Here is a 21,948-nt window from a genome sequence, read left to right as displayed (position 1 = left end):
GAGACCACCTTCCATCAAGGGAGGAGGGACACTTGCAATACTGTGACCTCCAACCCCATGGGTTTCCCATCTCCGTTCTTACCCAAGAAGTCCTGGTCATGTCATGGCCACATAAGCTTAGTGGAAAAAAACACCATTGATACAACTGTCATTGTGAAAGTATGGAGGTCTGGAGTCTCTCATAAGCCTGGGATTTTGGGTCATCAGGGCCTATGGCCACCTTACCTGGGCTGAGCTTTTGGACAAGGTGCTGTGCCAGTCTACACCCCTCAGCCAGCTGTTCTTGGAGGTCCTGCCCCTGGGACTTGTCCGGCTCATCCGGAGTGAGGAGGGCCTGGAGATGCTCATTCAATGAGAGGGAGGCATCTCTCCCTTCCCGCAACTTCTCCCTTAACTGGGTCAGCTCTCGTTCCTGAGTGTGAACCAGGACTTTATATTGCCTAAGGTGAGACGGTAGAGAAAATTTAAGAGTGGAAAGGGTTGAGTGATCCGCTCAAATATTGCAACAGAGACTTCTGAGACAATGTCCTCAAGGAGACCTTGAAACAGAAGGTCAGCACATGTTGAAAGGAATGTCTGTGGCCAAGAGAAAGAATAGAAAATGGTTTACAGGCTTCCTCTGTATCACAGAGAGCTCTTGCAAGATCCTCGATGATGTTCCATTCATCTTTCTCTTCTGTAAACAAAAGTAGGTGTCTTCCTAATTCCATTTCAAAAAGACATCCTTTCAGTTCCTCACTCTGGCCATGGACAATTCCATGTGAAAATACACATAGTGCATCTTGCGGCCACTAGATACAAAGCCATGTACAGAAATGAGGCCAGGTGCAGATGGGGCGAATTGAAAAGACGAAAGAAGAAAAGAATGACAGGGTCGAGAAGGCAACATTGATTGAGTGAAAGAATGAGAAGCCGCAGTCAGTCAGGAGGTGATTCTCACTAAGGGTAAGTGGGGTGGTGATGGCACACCATTTTGAGTATACTGAATGCTGCTGTGTGGTTCACACTCCTTTGGTTAATTTTGTGTTATGTAAATTTCACATCAACAATTACTTGTTTGAAAAAGAGAAAACAAGGCTCTGAGAAACAACTGCAACCCATACATTTTTACTATCCTCCTTCTCTGTTTGATAAATATTTGTGTGTAGCGAGCCTGCCATGGCAATTCCTGCCCTTCCCCTGGCCCAGCTTAGCTCTTACGTCTCCCCACCGAGCTGCTGTACTTCAGAGATTTACACACCTGCCCCCTGCCTGCCCCCATGGGGTCCCCTCACCTGAGCTCCTCAGCTTGCTTGAGCTGCTCTGCAAGCTTCTCCTCCTTGAACTGTCGCTCATTCCTCAGCATAGATTTTATGAGATCTTTGCACTCTTCATATTCTGAGAAAAGACAGACACGCCTGCCTCAGTGGAAGGCTGGACATGCTGCTGTGGTCATTGCCTACAGGACAGGAGCCAGGTCCATCCCAAGGACAAAACTCTCCCCAGTACCAGGGTCTAGACAGGGATTTCCACATCTTTACTCTTCAGTCTCCTGACTTTCTGGCATCTGATCCTCCAAAATTTAGAGATGAAGAAAGAGAACCTCAAGGGCACATCAAGGAAGTTGACAAGATGATTCAACCACAACGAAGTGGAGTCAGAATTCACAGTCCCTGAGGTCTGACTCTGAATGCGGGGCCACTTTCCCAAGCCTTGCAGCCTCTCCTCTAAAACACTGCACTGGGGCATGAAGTAGTGATTTCTTGTACAGTCGGGAAGGCCCCTAGGACTATGGGACTGATGGTTTCCCTTTCACTGGGAATTTCAAGGACAAGTATGCGAAAGATTTTTAAAATCTTTGATTTTTAAATCATATCTTCAGTTATGATTTTAAGAATCATATCTGAAGCATAAAGTGTGACACATAACACCATAAGGCCATGAAGGAAATATGCCCAAATGCTAATAAAGTTTGTGTTAATTTAGAAACAGCAGAATGAAGAACTAATAGATAGTGTTTACTGTGTGCCAATAAATGTTCTAGGAGACTGACAAGAAATAGCTCATGTAATTCACTGCAGCAATTTACAGAGGTAGGTATTATTGTAGTACCCTCTGAACAGGTGAGGAAACTGAGGGACAGACAAGACAAGCAACTTGGATGGATCCCAGGAGACAGGCCCACGGTCCCTGCTCTGTACACTGCACTGCTATCTCCACACATTCTCGGGTGGGATCTTTCTTCCTCTTTAGCAACAAGACTCTGTGCCCCAGGAAGCAGGACTTCACTCTCACCAAGCTACTCTCTGCTTTTTATTCTTATTTTTATTTATCATTATTATTATTATTATTTTTAACAGTCTTGCCCTGTCGCCCAGGCTGGAGTGCAATGGCAAAACCTTGGCTCACTGCAACCTCAGCCTCCTGGGTTCAAAGGATTCTCCTGCCTCAGCCTCCTGAGCAGGGGTGATTACAGTCACCTGCCACCACGCCCATCTACTTTTTGTATTTTTAGTGAAGATGGGGTTTCTCCATGTTGCCCAGGCTGGTCCCAAACTCCTGACCTGATGATCTGCCCGCCTCAGCCTCCCAAAGTGCTGGGATTACAGGAGTGAGCCACCATGCACGGCCCCTACTCCCTGCTCTTGATGCTGTCACTTATAGACAGCACAGGTTCTATTAGGAATAGACTCCTCTTGAAGCCCTCAGAGCAGGTACTGGCTACTATCACCAAGTTTCCCTCAGAGTCACTAGAACAGAGCTTTGTCTGTTGGGCCTCAACAGAAACTTGAACTGAATAAAAGTTCACTAGTCTCAGACATTTAGAACAACAGACTAGATGTTATTTGTCTGCAGGATCTTATATGGTAGAGAGGATTCTTGAAAACACGATTGAGCCTCTTGGAGAAAACAGGTCATTCTGTGCCTGTGTCAGAAATCAATAAATGGCAGTTTAACTCTAGTCCCACCCCCACCTGATTGAAAACATGGAAAGTTGCTAAATACTTTGGTACCTCTGTCTTCCAACTTTGACAAAATGTTAAAATACCCATTTCTGTTTTCCTAGAAGTACAGGAAGGATGAAATTATTTTTGATGGAGAGAGCATTTAGTGTCTCAGAGAGAAGACAGGATATCATTCATCACTTTCATGATGGTGAGCCTGTAGATCTTACTGTATTTGTTCTGTCGGTTGGCCAGGAAGCCGGCCAGTTGAGTTAGAAAACATTTCTCTTTGAGGTTTCTGAACTGCTGTTTCTTCTCTGCCAGCTGGGGGTGCAATTTCTCATTGATTTCTAGAATGTTCATCTCTGCCTTCTCGCTGGACAAAGGGCCGGCTGATACCACCATGCTGACGTTTGTGGCAGAAGAGGTGGGGCCAGGGACTGGGGAGAAGAAAGGCAAACACATGATGGGTTAAAAACTGGTGAAATCAAATAGGCTTAATCAGGACTGAGGGATGTCACTGGCAGCCTTGTTTACTTATTTGAAGATGATGTTTCCCTGGTTTCACTCTTGTCATCTCCAGTCTTGATCTCCTTTAAGTCAACTTGTCTCAGCTATGCAGTCACCTTGAAACCAGGACATAAACACTTCTACACTTTTCTTGCTTATAAGTTTCTATAAAGCAAGGCTTGGCCCTGAGATTTTTACCCCATGAGTGGCCAATGTTTCTGTGTAGCACAAAAGATTTCATTTTGCTTTTTTAATTTTTTTCTTTTTTGGTTTTTTGTTTTTTGTTTGAGACGGAGTCTCACTCTGTCGTGCAGGCTGCAGTGCAGAGGCACAATCTCAGCTCACTGCCACCTCTGCCGCCCGGGTTCAAGCGATTCTCATCCCTCAGCCTGCCAAGCATCTGGGATTACAAGCGCCAAGTAACATGCCAGCTAATTTTTGTATTTTTAGTAGAGATGGGGTTTCGCCATCTTGGACAGGCTGGTTTCGAACTCCTGACCTCAGGTGTTCTGCCCACCTCAGCCTCCCAAAGTGCTGGGATTAAGATGTGAGCCAGCGCCCCTGGTCAGAGACTTACTTTTTTTTTTGAGATGGAGTCTCGCTCTGTCTCCCAGGCTGGAGTGCAGTGGCACAATCTCGGCTCACTGCAAGCTCCGGTTCCTGGGTTCATGCCATTCTCCTGCCTCAGCCTCCTGAGTAGCTGGGACTACAGGCGCCCACCACCGCGCCCAGCTAATTTTTTTTTTTTTTTTGTATTTTTAGTAAAGACGGCGTTTCACCGTGTTAGCCAGGATGGTCTCGATCTCCTGACCTCGTGATCCACCCGCCCCGGCCTCCCAAAGTGCTCGGATTACATGTGTGAGCCACCGCGCCAGGCCGAGACTTCTTATTAATAGCTAAGACAAGCCAATGAAAAGGAGAGAGAGTCTAGCCTGAGAGGAGTGAACGAGCGTGGGAGGATCGTCTCAGCCGATCCTCCCACCTAAGTCTCCTGAGCAGTTGGGACTATAGGCATGCAGCACCATGCCTGCCTAATTTTTTGTATTCTTTGTAAAGATGGGTTTCACCATATTGTCCAGGCTGGTCTTCAACTCCTGAACTCAAGTCATCGTCCCACTTGGGCCTTCCAAAGTGCTGTGATTATATGTGTGAGTCACAGCACCTAGCTCCATCCTAGTTTCTGACTAAAACAATAACAATATGTGTATATACAGCCTGTCCTCAGAATTAATCTTCCATAGCCTAGACAGAGGTATGAGACACAAGGAAAATAGAGGCTACCTGAGAGAATGTTTAGAGCATCCTGACATTCATCATGAGAGGATTCTCTGTCTACAACCAGAGTTGAGTTGACTTCGTCTTCCTCAAATGTGATTTTGATGTTCTTGTGAGGCTGGTTGAAGTCACAAGGGCCGTGGCTATTTGAACAAGTGATGGCACATTCCTCCAGTGAGTCCTCAGGGACTTTGCTCTCTTCAGCCTTCTGCACCTCCCTGATGAGCCAGGTGGGACAGAGATGACAGAAGATTAAACACAGAGGGATTGGACCCCAGGGAGTCCTAGCTGGTTTTGACAGGTGGCATTAAGAGAGTGGTTCCAGAAAGCAAAATGGAGGTTCCCTTAAAGAGGAAACAGGCAATCCTCTTCTCTCTGCAACAGACCATGGCTGCCATGGGAGCCAGAGAGGAAGAGAGCAGCTGGTATTCAGTGCACTGGACAGATAGGAGCTGAGGAGGATGAAGACTCAGCTATCCCTGTATGGTACAGACATGACACTTGGCACACATAGAGAAACACGACAGCTGCCGCACCCTGTGTCTAAGCTGGGTTCAATTTCACATACTGTGGCCAAGGGGATGCGGGCTTTTGGTCCACCATAGATGCCAGAGAGGGTGTGCCTCCTAGACATTTTCATATGTTACCACCCATTACTTGCTCCTGAGTATTCAGTGTTACCTGGGGGCAGATGATTTCTGCACTTTCTCATCCTCCTCAACTTGAACATCTTCATCCTCATCTTCGTCATTTTTTATAAATACAAAATGTTCGTTCAGATATTTCCCACTTCACATTCTGCAAGCACAGTCAGCCCAACGTGCACAGAGACATGAACATCTATGTATGGTTCAGCATTGTACTGAAAACTCTCATGTTTTATCTTTCACAAAATGCCCTGGCATGGTTTCCTGGTCCATCGGGCAATGCATTTCTGATGTGGAGGGCCACCATCAAGATGTGGCCAAATACTGAAAAGACCTTTTGCTTCCCATATCACTGGAGGCTTGTGTAGCCTCTCTCTGGACTTTGGCAGCTGTCTCCCCCATCCTGCCACAGATCTGATTCCCAGGAACAGGCTTGGTGTCCTGTCACAGTTCGCATTTCAAACCTCATTCTTTCTCTTAGGAGAGGACAAACTTGTCCCACAGTCCTCTATGCGTCATGAGACTGCACAGGCCCTCCATGTGGCTTCTGCTGTGTTATTCAGGGACATTCTATCCATGGGGAGTGCTCCAGTCTGAAGCACTTCCTACCACCAAATGCCCCCACATCAAGTGCCTTCTCCAACACCACATGGAGAGGGGCTTCATCTCATTTTGAAAAGCATTCGTAAGTGTTCCCATATTTGGATGCTTCAGACCCTTGCAAGAGACAATTTGTCTGCCTTTGCAGATGGAGAGAGAGAAACTCTGGAAAGATAAATCACTCACTCACCGACACTTACTAAGAACATTGCCAAAAAGACAGCCTGGGAACCTTCATTCTTAGCCCAGAGCTCTTTTCACTCCAACAAGCGCCCTCCCATCACAGCCTCCTTCTTGTCCTTTAAAACTAGATAGATGCTGCCTCTTGCTCCAAAGACCACCTTCCATCAAGGAAGGAGGGACACTTGCAATACTGTGACCTCCAAACCATGGGTTTCCCATCTCTGTTCTTACCCAGGAAGTCCTGGTCATGTCATGGCCACATAGGTGTAGCAGAAAAAAACCCCACTGATACAACTGTCATTGTGAAAGTATGGAGGTCTGGAGCCTCTCATAAGCCTGGGGTTTTGGGTCATCAGGGCCTATGGCCACCTTACCTGGGCTGAGCTTTTGGACAAGGTGCTGTGCCAGTCTACACCCCTCAGCCAGCTGTTCTTGGAGGTCCTGCCCCTGGGACTTGTCCGGCTCATCCAGAGTGAGGAGGGCCTGGAGATGCTCATTCAATGAGCGGGAGGCATCTCTCCCTTCCTGTAACTTCTCCTTTAACTGCGTCAGCTCTCGTTCCTGAGAGTGAACCAGGACTTTATATTGCCTAAGGTGAGATGGTAGAGAAAATTTAAGAGTAGAAAGGGTTGAGTGATCCGTTCAAATATTGCAACAGAGATTTCTGAGACAATGTTCACAAGGAGACCTTCAAGCAGAAGGTCAGCACATGTTGAAAGGAATGTCTGTGGCCAAGAGAAAGAACAGAAAATGGTCTACAGGCTTTCCCTGTATCAGAGAGGGCTCCTGCAAGATCCTCGATGATGTTCCATTCATCTTTCTCTTCTGTAAACAAAAGTAGGTGTCTTCCTAATTCCATTTCAAAGACATCCTTTCAGTTCCTCACTCTGGCCATGGACATTTCCATGTGAAAATACACATAGTGCATCTTGCGGCCACTAGATACAAAGTCATGTACAGAAATGAGGCCAGGTGCAGATGGGGCGAATTGAAAAGATGAAAGAAGAAAAGAATGACAGGGTCAAGAAGGCAACATTGATTGAGTGAAAGAATGAGAAGACGCAGTCAGTCAGAAGGTGATTCTCACTAAGGGTAAGTGGGGTGGCGATAGCACACCATTTTGATTATACTGAATGCTGCTGGGTGGTTCCCACTCCTTTGGTGAATTTTGTGTTATGTAAATTTCACCTCAACAATTACTTGTTTGAAAAAGAGAAAACAAGGCTCTAAGAAACAACTGCAACACAGAACTTATTATTATCCTTGTTCTCTGATAAATATTTGTGTGTCATGAGCCTGCCATGGCAATTTCTGCCCTTCCCCTGGCCCAGCTTCATTCTTACTTCTCCCCGCCGAGCTGCTGTACTTCAGAGATCTACACACCTACCCGCCTGCCTCCCCCTACGGGTTCCCCTCACCTGAGCTCCTCAGCTTGCTTGAGCTGCTCTGCAAGCTTCTCCTCCTTGAACTGTCGCTCATTCCTCAGCATAAATCTTATGAGGTCTTTACACTCTTCATACTCTGAGAAAAGACAGACACGCCTGCCTCAGTGGAAGGCTGGACATGCTGCTGTGGTCACTGCCTACAGGGCAGGAGCCAGGTCCATCCCAAGGACAAAACTCTCCCCAGTACCAGGGTCTAGACAGGGATTTCCACATCTTTACTCTTCAGTCTCCTGACTTTCTGGCATCTGATCCTCCAAAATTTAAAGACGAAGAAAGAGAAACTCAAGGGCGCGTCAAGGAAGTTGACAAGATGATTCAACCACAACGAAGCGGAGTCAGAACTCACAGCCCCTGAGGTCTGACTCTGAATGCGGGGCCACTTTCCCAAGCCTTGCAGCCTCTCCTCTAAAACACTGCACTGGGGCATGAAGTAGTGATTTCTTGTACAGTCGGGAAGGTCCCTAGGACTATGGGACTGATGGTTTCCCTTTTACTGGGTATTTCAAGGACAAATATGTCAAGGACTTTAAAAATATTTCATTTTTAAATCAATATTCAGATATGGTTTTAAGAATCATATCTGAAGCATAAAGTGTGAGACATAAGACAATAAGGCCATGAAGGAAATATGCCCAAATACTTTATTAGTATGAGAGGCAGCATTAAGATTTAGATTCGTTGTGTTAATTTAGAAACAGCATAAGATTAGTTTGTGTTAATTTAGAAACATCAGAATGAAGAACTAATAGATAGTGTTTACACTGTGCCAATTAATGTTCAAGGAGATTGACAGGAAATGCCTCATGTAATTCATTGCAGCAATTTACAGAGGTAGGTATTATTGTAGTACCCTCTGAACAGATGAGGAAACTGAGGGACAGACAAGACAAGGAACTTGGATGGAGCCCAGGAGACAGGCTGAGGGTCCCTGCTTTGCACACTGCACTGCTGCTTCCACACATTCTCGGGTGTGATCTTTCTTCCTCTTTAGGAACAAGAGCCTGTGCACCAGGAAGCAGGACTTCACTCTCACCAAGCTACTCTCTGCTTTTTATTTTTATTTTTGATTTATTTATCTTTTTGTTTTGTTTGTTTTTTGACGAGTCTTGCCCTGTCACCCATGCTGGAGTGCAATAGTGCAATCTTGGCTCACTGCAACATCTGCCTGCTGGGTTCAAAGGATTCTTCTGCCTCAGCCTCCCGATTAGTGGTGATTACAGTTGCCCGCCACGATGCCCATCTACTTTTTGTATTTTTAGTGGAGATGGGGTTTCTCCATGTTGCCCAGGCTAGTCTCAAACTGCTGACCTTGTGCTCTGCCCGCCTCAGCCTCCCAAAGTGCTGAGATTACAGGAGTGAGCCATGTTGCACGGCCCCTACTCCCTGCTCTTGATGCTGTCACTTATAGATAGCACAGGTTCTATTAGGAGCAGACTCCTCTTGAAGCCCCTCAGAGCAGGTACTGGGTACTATCACCAAGTTCCCCTCAGAGTCACTAGAACAGAGCTTTGCCTGTTGGGCCTCAACAGAAACTTGAACTGAATAAAAGTTCACTAGTCCTAGACATTTAGAACAACAGACTACATGTTATTTGTCTGCAGGATCTTATATGGTACAGAGAGGATTCTTGAAAACATGATTGAGCCTCTTGGAGAAAACAGGTCGTTCTGTGCCTGTGTTAGAAATCAATAACTGTGAGTTTAACTCTAGTCCCACCCCCATCTGATTGCAAACATGGAAAGTTGCTAAATACTTTGGTACCTCTGTCTTCCAACTTTAACAAAATGTTAAAATACCCATTTCTGTTTTCCTAGAAGTACAGGAAGGATGAAATTATTTTTGATGGAGAGAGCATTTAGTGTCTCAGAGAGAAGACAGGACATCATTCATCACTTTCATGACGGTGAGCCTATAGATCTTACTGTATTTCTTCTGTCGGTTGGCCAGGAAGCCGGCCAGTTGAGTTAGAAAACATTTCTCTTTGAGGTTTACGAACTGCTGTTTCTTCTCTGCCAGCTGGGGGTGCAATTTCTCATTGATTTCTAGAATGTTCATCTCTGCCTTCTCGCTGGACAAAGGGCCGGCTGATACCACCATGCTGACGTTTGTGGCAGAAGAGGTGGGGCCAGGGACTGGGGAGAAGAAAGGCAAACACATGATGGGTTAAAAACTGGTGAAATCAAATAGGCTTAATCAGGACTGAGGGATGTCACTGGCAGCCTTGTTTACTTATTTGAAGATGATGTTTCCCTGGTTTCACTCTTGTCATCTCCAGTCTTGATCTCCTTTAAGTCAACTTGTCTCAGCTATGCAGTCACCTTGAAACCAGGACATAAACACTTCTACACTTTTCTTGCTTATAAGTTTCTATAAAGCAAGGCTTGGCCCTGAGATTTTTACCCCATGAGTGGCCAATGTTTCTGTGTAGCACAAAAGATTTCATTTTGCTTTTTTAATTTTTTTCTTTTTTGGTTTTTTGTTTTTTGTTTGAGACGGAGTCTCACTCTGTCGTGCAGGCTGCAGTGCAGAGGCACAATCTCAGCTCACTGCCACCTCTGCCGCCCGGGTTCAAGCGATTCTCATCCCTCAGCCTGCCAAGCATCTGGGATTACAAGCGCCAAGTAACATGCCAGCTAATTTTTGTATTTTTAGTAGAGATGGGGTTTCGCCATCTTGGACAGGCTGGTTTCGAACTCCTGACCTCAGGTGTTCTGCCCACCTCAGCCTCCCAAAGTGCTGGGATTAAGATGTGAGCCAGCGCCCCTGGTCAGAGACTTACTTTTTTTTTTGAGATGGAGTCTCGCTCTGTCTCCCAGGCTGGAGTGCAGTGGCACAATCTCGGCTCACTGCAAGCTCCGGTTCCTGGGTTCATGCCATTCTCCTGCCTCAGCCTCCTGAGTAGCTGGGACTACAGGCGCCCACCACCGCGCCCAGCTAATTTTTTTTTTTTTTTTGTATTTTTAGTAAAGACGGCGTTTCACCGTGTTAGCCAGGATGGTCTCGATCTCCTGACCTCGTGATCCACCCGCCCCGGCCTCCCAAAGTGCTCGGATTACATGTGTGAGCCACCGCGCCAGGCCGAGACTTCTTATTAATAGCTAAGACAAGCCAATGAAAAGGAGAGAGAGTCTAGCCTGAGAGGAGTGAACGAGCGTGGGAGGATCGTCTCAGCCGATCCTCCCACCTAAGTCTCCTGAGCAGTTGGGACTATAGGCATGCAGCACCATGCCTGCCTAATTTTTTGTATTCTTTGTAAAGATGGGTTTCACCATATTGTCCAGGCTGGTCTTCAACTCCTGAACTCAAGTCATCGTCCCACTTGGGCCTTCCAAAGTGCTGTGATTATATGTGTGAGTCACAGCACCTAGCTCCATCCTAGTTTCTGACTAAAACAATAACAATATGTGTATATACAGCCTGTCCTCAGAATTAATCTTCCATAGCCTAGACAGAGGTATGAGACACAAGGAAAATAGAGGCTACCTGAGAGAATGTTTAGAGCATCCTGACATTCATCATGAGAGGATTCTCTGTCTACAACCAGAGTTGAGTTGACTTCGTCTTCCTCAAATGTGATTTTGATGTTCTTGTGAGGCTGGTTGGAGTCACAAGGGCCGTGGCTATTTGAACAAGTGATGGCACATTCCTCCAGTGAGTCCTCAGGGACTTTGCTCTCTTCAGCCTTCTGCACCTCCCTGATGAGCCAGGTGGGACAGAGATGACAGAAGATTAAACACAGAGGGATTGGACCCCAGGGAGTCCTAGCTGGTTTTGACAGGTGGCATTAAGAGAGTGGTTCCAGAAAGCAAAATGGAGGTTCCCTTAAAGAGGAAACAGGCAATCCTCTTCTCTCTGCAACAGACCATGGCTGCCATGGGAGCCAGAGAGGAAGAGAGCAGCTGGTATTCAGTGCACTGGACAGATAGGAGCTGAGGAGGATGAAGACTCAGCTATCCCTGTATGGTACAGACATGACACTTGGCACACATAGAGAAACACGACAGCTGCCGCACCCTGTGTCTAAGCTGGGTTCAATTTCACATACTGTGGCCAAGGGGATGCGGGCTTTTGGTCCACCATAGATGCCAGAGAGGGTGTGCCTCCTAGACATTTTCATATGTTACCACCCATTACTTGCTCCTGAGTATTCAGTGTTACCTGGGGGCAGATGATTTCTGCACTTTCTCATCCTCCTCAACTTGAACATCTTCATCCTCATCTTCGTCATTTTTTATAAATACAAAATGTTCGTTCAGATATTTCCCACTTCACATTCTGCAAGCACAGTCAGCCCAACGTGCACAGAGACATGAACATCTATGTATGGTTCAGCATTGTACTGAAAACTCTCATGTTTTATCTTTCACAAAATGCCCTGGCATGGTTTCCTGGTCCATCGGGCAATGCATTTCTGATGTGGAGGGCCACCATCAAGATGTGGCCAAATACTGAAAAGACCTTTTGCTTCCCATATCACTGGAGGCTTGTGTAGCCTCTCTCTGGACTTTGGCAGCTGTCTCCCCCATCCTGCCACAGATCTGATTCCCAGGAACAGGCTTGGTGTCCTGTCACAGTTCGCATTTCAAACCTCATTCTTTCTCTTAGGAGAGGACAAACTTGTCCCACAGTCCTCTATGCGTCATGAGACTGCACAGGCCCTCCATGTGGCTTCTGCTGTGTTATTCAGGGACATTCTATCCATGGGGAGTGCTCCAGTCTGAAGCACTTCCTACCACCAAATGCCCCCACATCAAGTGCCTTCTCCAACACCACATGGAGAGGGGCTTCATCTCATTTTGAAAAGCATTCGTAAGTGTTCCCATATTTGGATGCTTCAGACCCTTGCAAGAGACAATTTGTCTGCCTTTGCAGATGGAGAGAGAGAAACTCTGGAAAGATAAATCACTCACTCACCGACACTTACTAAGAACATTGCCAAAAAGACAGCCTGGGAACCTTCATTCTTAGCCCAGAGCTCTTTTCACTCCAACAAGCGCCCTCCCATCACAGCCTCCTTCTTGTCCTTTAAAACTAGATAGATGCTGCCTCTTGCTCCAAAGACCACCTTCCATCAAGGAAGGAGGGACACTTGCAATACTGTGACCTCCAAACCATGGGTTTCCCATCTCTGTTCTTACCCAGGAAGTCCTGGTCATGTCATGGCCACATAGGTGTAGCAGAAAAAAAACCCCACTGATACAACTGTCATTGTGAAAGTATGGAGGTCTGGAGCCTCTCATAAGCCTGGGGTTTTGGGTCATCAGGGCCTATGGCCACCTTACCTGGGCTGAGCTTTTGGACAAGGTGCTGTGCCAGTCTACACCCCTCAGCCAGCTGTTCTTGGAGGTCCTGCCCCTGGGACTTGTCCGGCTCATCCAGAGTGAGGAGGGCCTGGAGATGCTCATTCAATGAGCGGGAGGCATCTCTCCCTTCCTGTAACTTCTCCTTTAACTGCGTCAGCTCTCGTTCCTGAGAGTGAACCAGGACTTTATATTGCCTAAGGTGAGATGGTAGAGAAAATTTAAGAGTAGAAAGGGTTGAGTGATCCGTTCAAATATTGCAACAGAGATTTCTGAGACAATGTTCACAAGGAGACCTTCAAGCAGAAGGTCAGCACATGTTGAAAGGAATGTCTGTGGCCAAGAGAAAGAACAGAAAATGGTCTACAGGCTTTCCCTGTATCAGAGAGGGCTCCTGCAAGATCCTCGATGATGTTCCATTCATCTTTCTCTTCTGTAAACAAAAGTAGGTGTCTTCCTAATTCCATTTCAAAGACATCCTTTCAGTTCCTCACTCTGGCCATGGACATTTCCATGTGAAAATACACATAGTGCATCTTGCGGCCACTAGATACAAAGTCATGTACAGAAATGAGGCCAGGTGCAGATGGGGCGAATTGAAAAGATGAAAGAAGAAAAGAATGACAGGGTCAAGAAGGCAACATTGATTGAGTGAAAGAATGAGAAGACGCAGTCAGTCAGAAGGTGATTCTCACTAAGGGTAAGTGGGGTGGCGATAGCACACCATTTTGATTATACTGAATGCTGCTGGGTGGTTCCCACTCCTTTGGTGAATTTTGTGTTATGTAAATTTCACCTCAACAATTACTTGTTTGAAAAAGAGAAAACAAGGCTCTAAGAAACAACTGCAACACAGAACTTATTATTATCCTTGTTCTCTGATAAATATTTGTGTGTCATGAGCCTGCCATGGCAATTTCTGCCCTTCCCCTGGCCCAGCTTCATTCTTACTTCTCCCCGCCGAGCTGCTGTACTTCAGAGATCTACACACCTACCCGCCTGCCTCCCCCTACGGGTTCCCCTCACCTGAGCTCCTCAGCTTGCTTGAGCTGCTCTGCAAGCTTCTCCTCCTTGAACTGTCGCTCATTCCTCAGCATAAATCTTATGAGGTCTTTACACTCTTCATACTCTGAGAAAAGACAGACACGCCTGCCTCAGTGGAAGGCTGGACATGCTGCTGTGGTCACTGCCTACAGGGCAGGAGCCAGGTCCATCCCAAGGACAAAACTCTCCCCAGTACCAGGGTCTAGACAGGGATTTCCACATCTTTACTCTTCAGTCTCCTGACTTTCTGGCATCTGATCCTCCAAAATTTAAAGACGAAGAAAGAGAAACTCAAGGGCGCGTCAAGGAAGTTGACAAGATGATTCAACCACAACGAAGCGGAGTCAGAACTCACAGCCCCTGAGGTCTGACTCTGAATGCGGGGCCACTTTCCCAAGCCTTGCAGCCTCTCCTCTAAAACACTGCACTGGGGCATGAAGTAGTGATTTCTTGTACAGTCGGGAAGGTCCCTAGGACTATGGGACTGATGGTTTCCCTTTTACTGGGTATTTCAAGGACAAATATGTCAAGGACTTTAAAAATATTTCATTTTTAAATCAATATTCAGATATGGTTTTAAGAATCATATCTGAAGCATAAAGTGTGAGACATAAGACAATAAGGCCATGAAGGAAATATGCCCAAATACTTTATTAGTATGAGAGGCAGCATTAAGATTTAGATTCGTTGTGTTAATTTAGAAACAGCATAAGATTAGTTTGTGTTAATTTAGAAACATCAGAATGAAGAACTAATAGATAGTGTTTACACTGTGCCAATTAATGTTCAAGGAGATTGACAGGAAATGCCTCATGTAATTCATTGCAGCAATTTACAGAGGTAGGTATTATTGTAGTACCCTCTGAACAGATGAGGAAACTGAGGGACAGACAAGACAAGGAACTTGGATGGAGCCCAGGAGACAGGCTGAGGGTCCCTGCTTTGCACACTGCACTGCTGCTTCCACACATTCTCGGGTGTGATCTTTCTTCCTCTTTAGGAACAAGAGCCTGTGCACCAGGAAGCAGGACTTCACTCTCACCAAGCTACTCTCTGCTTTTTATTTTTATTTTTGATTTATTTATCTTTTTGTTTTGTTTGTTTTTTGACGAGTCTTGCCCTGTCACCCATGCTGGAGTGCAATAGTGCAATCTTGGCTCACTGCAACATCTGCCTGCTGGGTTCAAAGGATTCTTCTGCCTCAGCCTCCCGATTAGTGGTGATTACAGTTGCCCGCCACGATGCCCATCTACTTTTTGTATTTTTAGTGGAGATGGGGTTTCTCCATGTTGCCCAGGCTAGTCTCAAACTGCTGACCTTGTGCTCTGCCCGCCTCAGCCTCCCAAAGTGCTGAGATTACAGGAGTGAGCCATGTTGCACGGCCCCTACTCCCTGCTCTTGATGCTGTCACTTATAGATAGCACAGGTTCTATTAGGAGCAGACTCCTCTTGAAGCCCCTCAGAGCAGGTACTGGGTACTATCACCAAGTTCCCCTCAGAGTCACTAGAACAGAGCTTTGCCTGTTGGGCCTCAACAGAAACTTGAACTGAATAAAAGTTCACTAGTCCTAGACATTTAGAACAACAGACTACATGTTATTTGTCTGCAGGATCTTATATGGTACAGAGAGGATTCTTGAAAACATGATTGAGCCTCTTGGAGAAAACAGGTCGTTCTGTGCCTGTGTTAGAAATCAATAACTGTGAGTTTAACTCTAGTCCCACCCCCATCTGATTGCAAACATGGAAAGTTGCTAAATACTTTGGTACCTCTGTCTTCCAACTTTAACAAAATGTTAAAATACCCATTTCTGTTTTCCTAGAAGTACAGGAAGGATGAAATTATTTTTGATGGAGAGAGCATTTAGTGTCTCAGAGAGAAGACAGGACATCATTCATCACTTTCATGACGGTGAGCCTATAGATCTTACTGTATTTCTTCTGTCGGTTGGCCAGGAAGCCGGCCAGTTGAGTTAGAAAACATCTCTCTTTGAGGTTTACGAACTGCTGTTTGTTCTCTGCCAACTGGGGGCGCAATTTCTCGTTGATTTCTAGAATGTTCATCTCTGCCTTCTCGCTGGACCAAGGGCCGGCTGATACCACCATGCTGACGTTTGTGGCAGAAGAGGTGGAGTCAGGGACTGGGGAGAAGAAACCCAAACATATGATGGGTTAAAAACTGGTGAAATCAAATAGGTTTAATCAGGACTGAGGGATGTCAGTAACTGAAATTCTTACCTTACTGTTGTGAAAAATGTGATCACTCCCACAGCACTTTAGGATCCTTCACCACAAAAACAAGGTTCGAGGTGCCTCAACTCAGAGCTGAAAGCACTGCCAGTAGCTCAGACTCTGATAAGAGTGAGGTAGATTGTGGCCAGCGTGCCAGGTAACCGTCTGCAGTTGCAATAACAGAATTAGAAGGTGGGGGTGTCATGGAATCTTAGGAGCCCTGCATTCCAATTGCCCAGGCTTTGCTGAAACACAGGCACCCTAGTCTCACCTGAGGGTCACCACCAATGGGGATCATTCCTTCAGCATTCACTCTCAGTATTCGTGTACCCTTGTGACAATGCCACAGACCCGTGTCTTTCCCAATACATCTAAGCACATTCCTCACTGTTTATCTCTTGTCTGTACAACATCATCAAGGCAGAAACAGTTTCCCAACAGGTTATATTTTCTTAATGGTAGTCATGAAGTCATAAATAAAAAAATGGAATCATTTAGTATGTTCTCTTGTTTTGACTTTTTTATTTTTTTGAGACAGAGTCTCACTCTGTCTCCCAGGCTGGAGTGCAGTGACGCGATCTAGGCTCACTGCAAGCTCTGCCTCCCAGGTTCACGCTATTCTCCTGCCTCAGACTCCCAAGTAGCTGGGAATACAGGCGCCCGCCACCACGCCTGGCTAATTTTTCTTTTCTTTTTTTTTTTCTTTTTTTGTATTTTTAGTAGAGACGGGGTTTCACTGTGTTAGCCACGATGGTCTCGATCTCCTGACCTCGTGATCTGCCGCCTCGGCCTCCCAAAGTACTGGGATTACAGGCGTGAGCCACCGCGCCCGGCCGACTTCTCTTTACTCAAGTGTGTATATATGCCACTAATTTGTTTGATTGTGTTTTTCCCTTGTTTCATTTTGTTTTGGCCAAGTAATATCCTATTGATTGTATGATTATCACACAATTTGATATCCATTTTTCTGATGGGAGACAGGTTTACTTGATAACTACTGTGCATAAGTAACTATGAATATTCTCATACAATTATTTCTGTGAAGATACATACTTATTTTCCTGGGTATCTATAGCTAGGGATGGAGTTGCTTGGTGAATGGGTAGAAAATGTTGGACAGAGTTTTGCAAAGTATTTGTATTGTTTTACATTTCTATGAAAGATGTAGGCCATTTCCAGTTGCTCTACATTCCCACACACTTAATATTTTCAGTCTTTTAAACTATGCCAGGTGTGTAGTGATATCCTAAAATTTGGTTTTCTCATGCCTAATGTGCATTTAGATATCTTCTTATGGAAAATATCTTCTCAAATTTTTATATTCATTGATATACTGGGCTGTTTGTCAATTTCTTTGTAATAGGAGTTCTTTATATATTTTGAATGAGTCCATTTATACATACATATTTTTTGCTGTATTATATAGCAAATAATTATTCCTGGTCTAGAGATAGCGTTTAAGTTGTTAAACAACAACATAATAAGGAGAAGCTTTTTAAAAATGAAGTGCAATTCGCTTGATTTCTTATTGTGGTGAGTGCTACAGTATCTAGTCTAAGAAATATTTTCCTGTGTCAAGTTCATGAAACTATTTCCTATTTTTCCTTTACAAGGTTTCTAATTTTAACTTTCACATCTTAAGATAATTTCAACATATGATGGAGAGTGGTTAATATTAACTTTTTAAAACAACAAATATTATTTCACTCAAAATCGTTTTACTTAAAAGTCTTTCATTTCCCCAATGAAGGGCATTGGTGTCTGTTTTTAAAACATTTAGAAGCGGCGGTGCAAGCATGTTCTCACTCATGGGTGGGAACTGAACAATGAGAACACTTGGACACAGGACGGGGAACATCACACACCAGGGCCTGTCATGGGGTGAGGGCTGGGGGAGGGATAGCATTAGGAGAAATACCTAATGTAAATGACGAGTTAATGGGTGCAGCAAACCAACATGGCACACGTATATATATATATAATATATATACACGTGTATATATATTATATATACATATATACCTGTATACACGTATATATAATATATACACACACATGAATATATATAATATATATACGTGTATATACATACGTGTATATATATATAATACGTGTATATACATAATATACAATATATATAACACGTGTATATATATTATATATATATATTTTTTTCTTTTTTAAGTGGCGGAGCGAGGGCTACTGCACAGCTAGCAGAGTCGTGGCGAGGAGGACAGCACCTGCATCGAGCTCTCCGCCTCCCCCACCCGCCAGCCCAGGCGGCCCCAGCAGCAGCGACCAGAGGAGCCCCTGCAGCAACGCAACGGCCAGGTGGACACCTCCATCTACAGCCTCGTGGCGGACGGGACCTGTTAGGACACTGCCATTGTGGGCAACAAGGACCCGCCTTCCATCTGGGCCGCCGTCCCAGGGAAAACCTTCCTCAACATCACGCCAGCTGAGGTTGGTGTCCTGGTTGGCAAAGACTGGTCAAGCTTTGTCATGAATGGGCTGACACTGGGGGGCCAGAAATATACTGTGGTCCTGGACTCACTGCTGCAGGATGGGGAATTGACCACGGATCTTCGTATGAAGAGCATCGGTGGAGCCCCCACCTTCAACGTCATTGTCACCATGACTGCCAAGACGCTAGGCCTGCTGATGGGCAAAGAAGGTATCCATGGCAATTTCATCGACAAGTAATGTTATGAAATGGCCTCCCACCTTCAGCGTTCCCAGTACTGACCTCCTTTGTTCCTTCCACTCCACCGCTCCCCACAGCTTTGCCCGCCTTTCCTTCACATACACACACCATTTTAATTTCAGGAGTCATTACTCCACACACCTTATTGCTGCCAAAACCACATGGGCTGGGGGCCAGGGATAGATGGACAGACACCTTCCCCCACCCATACCCCTCCTGTGTGTGGCTGGAAAACTTTTTTGTTTTGATGGATTTTTTATGAATAAAAAAGTTTCTACTAAAAAAAATCAATAACTGTACATATGTGGGCATATTGTTTGAGTCTGTATTCTTTCACTTTGATGTATTTATGAATACTGACACCATTACTACTGTTTTAAAATTACTGTAGCTTTAAAATCAGGTTTGAAATCTAGCAGAGTAAGTCCTCCAACTTATTGCTTCTTCAATACCGACTTGCTTATTCTAGGTTCTTTGATTTTCAAATACATTTTGAAACTAGCTTTCAAATTTCTCTAAAATCTCCTACTAGAAATATTAAGCAGAATTGTGTTGATGTAATATGCTAACAAAATTGAGTCTTCCAAGCAATGAACATGATATATATTTATTTAGCCTTCTTTAATTTTTCTCACCAATTGCTTTTAGGGGCCTTGTACCTGCTTCATTGCATGTATTGTTAAGCATGTAATGATTCTGGCTGTTAATCTCTATTATGTTTTATTGAATTTCATTTTCTAGCTGCTAATTGCTAGTATGGAGAAATTAAGATGATGAAATCAACTTTATAAAGGCATAATTTCGGTACAACAGACTGCACCACTTTAAAATGTGTAATTCAATGCACGTTTACAAATGGATACACTAACGGAACTACTGCCACAACCAAGATAGAGGAAATTCCCTATGCCCCAAAGTTTCTTGTACCCCTTTGCAGTTCATCAGCCTTTCAACCCTCAGCCCCAAGGAGCCACTGTCACTTCAGGTCCGTTTGCATTTTTAACCATTTTCTATAAATGAAATGATACCTGTGTTCTTTTGTGTCTGCCTTCTTTCATGCATCAATGTAATTTTAAAATCCATCTGTAATGTCTTGTAAATACTGAGTAGTATTCCTTCGTGTGGCTATACCATGTATGTTTGTACTTTCACTTATTATTGGACATTTCTATCATTCCACGTTTGGGCTATTATGAAGAAACTATCATGAGCATCCATACGTGGCAGGCCAGGTCTCACTAACACAGGCCTCCCTAACAACTGTTTCAGTACCGACTGAGTGGTTCAATTAAATATTAAGAGGAAAAAAAAAAAAAAAGAAGCCAGTGCCCTTATACAAAGGCTGGAATGTAACAAAAGCCCACCAAGAGTTTTGCCTAGGTTTTTCCTGGGCCTTAAAGCATGACGAAATAACGAAGGCATTCTTAACAGGAGCCATTTAGTATTAAACGAGTTTTATTGGGGGTCTGAAGAAACTCCCCAGGCCTCCACAAACAAGTTTATTGGAGATCTGAAGGGACTCTCCAAACCTCTGTGATTTAGCAGGAGACAAGATAAGGGACCCCAGCACCTAGACCCATTTAGATTAACTGAATTTAACTGAGGTTCCAGAGGAAGGTCTTCAGGACTCAGACTTAGTTATAGATTAAAAGAAGTTAATCATTTATGTGTTTAGATGAATGCACACTTCCACATACACATATAGCTTAGAAGGTACATTAGCTCAGGAAAACTTTCCAATTTTGAGTTGGTCTGGTGATAATTTCCAGGCCGTTTCCCTGTAACCAGTTGCAGAAGTCAAAACTCTCTTCCTCCCCAGTTCATCTGTGTCTCGTTACTGAGCCATGAGAAATAGCAGCCCGCCCCTCAGGTTGGTCTGGAAACACACATACAGATCACTGTGCAGACACAGTGTGTAAATTCCTAGGAATGGAATGACTGTCTATCTGATTTGTGTTATGTTTAACCTTTAAGAAACTGTTAGATTTTCAAAGGAGCCATACCATTTTTCATTCCTACAAGTATAAGACTTCCAAGTGCTTTATATCCTCACCAACAGGTGCTATTTTCAGCCTTTTTAATTTTAGCCATTCTTATGGATATGTAGTGGTATCTCATTGTTGCACTGATTGATCTCCCTGATGACTAAACAGTGGAGCATCTTTTCCTATGCTAATTGCCCATTCATGTATCTTCTTTTCTGAAGTATCTAAGTCTTTTGAGAAATTGTTTCAATGTGCTGTTTATCTTATCAGATTGCAATATATATATATGTGTGTGTGTGTGTCTGTATATATATATATATATATATATATATATATATATATATATATTCCCTATTTGGAGATGATAAATATATATATATATATATTCCCTATTTGGAGATGATAATCTTCAAAACGGTGAATATACACACACACACACACACACACACACACACGTTTGTGTGTGTATGTGTGTATACATATATATATGTCCTAAGAATCAATTAGACATACATGTGAGTATCTATTTCTGGATTCTCTCTTCTCTTCCACTGATATATATTCCATTTTTTTTTTCAACAAAACACATAATCTTGATTTTCATAGCTGTAGAGTAATTCTGGAAATAGGTAGTGAATTCATTCACCATTATTCTTTTATAATATTGCTATTTTATTATTCTTGATCATTGACATTACCATATAAATGGTAGAATCATCTTGTAAATTTCTACCAAAATGCCGGTTGGAATTTTTATTAGAATTGCATTGGATCTGGAGATCAATTTACGAAGAACTGACTTTTTAAACATAACAACTCTTCTGATCCATGACAAGGTTTATCTCCCCACTAATTTAGTTCTTTCATAATTTCTTAAAGCAATTTTTTATAGTTTTTGGTGTACTGGCCTTACATAAATTTTGTTGACTTTCCTTTTTTTTTTTTTTTTTTTTTTGAGACAGAGTCTTGCTCTGTTACCCAGGCTGGAGTGCAGTGATGCGATCTCGGCTCACTGTAACCTCTGCCTCCCAGGTTCAAGTGATCCTCCTGCCTCAGCCTCCCAAGTAGCTGGACTACAGGCACATGCCACCACGCCTAG

General features: G+C 44.2%; 1 protein-coding gene and 1 pseudogene across 6 annotated transcripts in view; one reads left to right on the top strand and one right to left on the bottom strand.

The window, feature by feature from the left end:
* Positions 1–21,948, bottom strand: part of NBPF8 (NBPF member 8) — a 54,650-nt gene that overhangs the window by 17,120 nt on the left and 15,582 nt on the right. For 2 of the 5 annotated variants that reach the window (XM_047429836.1, XM_047429843.1), the window contains exons 4-16: positions 15,860–16,069; positions 13,911–14,013; positions 12,867–13,081; positions 11,743–11,815; positions 11,068–11,279; positions 9,507–9,716; positions 7,558–7,660; positions 6,514–6,728; positions 5,391–5,463; positions 4,716–4,927; positions 3,155–3,364; positions 1,275–1,377; positions 226–440 (exon numbers count right to left, since the gene is read on the bottom strand). In XM_047429836.1, coding sequence (XP_047285792.1) covers positions 226–440; positions 1,275–1,377; positions 3,155–3,364; positions 4,716–4,927; positions 5,391–5,463; positions 6,514–6,728; positions 7,558–7,660; positions 9,507–9,716; positions 11,068–11,279; positions 11,743–11,815; positions 12,867–13,081; positions 13,911–14,013; positions 15,860–16,069 — 2,154 coding nt within the window. Of the gene's footprint in view, positions 1–225; positions 441–1,274; positions 1,378–3,154; positions 3,365–4,715; positions 4,928–5,390; positions 5,464–6,513; positions 6,729–7,557; positions 7,661–9,506; positions 9,717–11,067; positions 11,280–11,742; positions 11,816–12,866; positions 13,082–13,910; positions 14,014–15,859; positions 16,326–21,948 lie in introns of all 5 variants that reach the window. The other 3 variants (NR_102404.3, NM_001037501.5, NR_102405.3) reach the window with 2 other exon arrangements.
* PFN1P2 (profilin 1 pseudogene 2) lies at positions 18,448–20,353 on the top strand (annotated as a pseudogene). Its single transcript, NR_003242.3, has one exon. The product of NR_003242.3 is annotated as a profilin 1 pseudogene 2 (transcript).

This window comes from Homo sapiens, chromosome 1 (genome assembly GCF_000001405.40).
Source record: "Homo sapiens chromosome 1, GRCh38.p14 Primary Assembly".
Lineage (NCBI taxonomy): Eukaryota > Metazoa > Chordata > Mammalia > Primates > Hominidae > Homo > Homo sapiens.
Note: the sequence above shows the minus strand (reverse complement) of the source record. Positions and strands in the feature narration are given on the sequence as shown.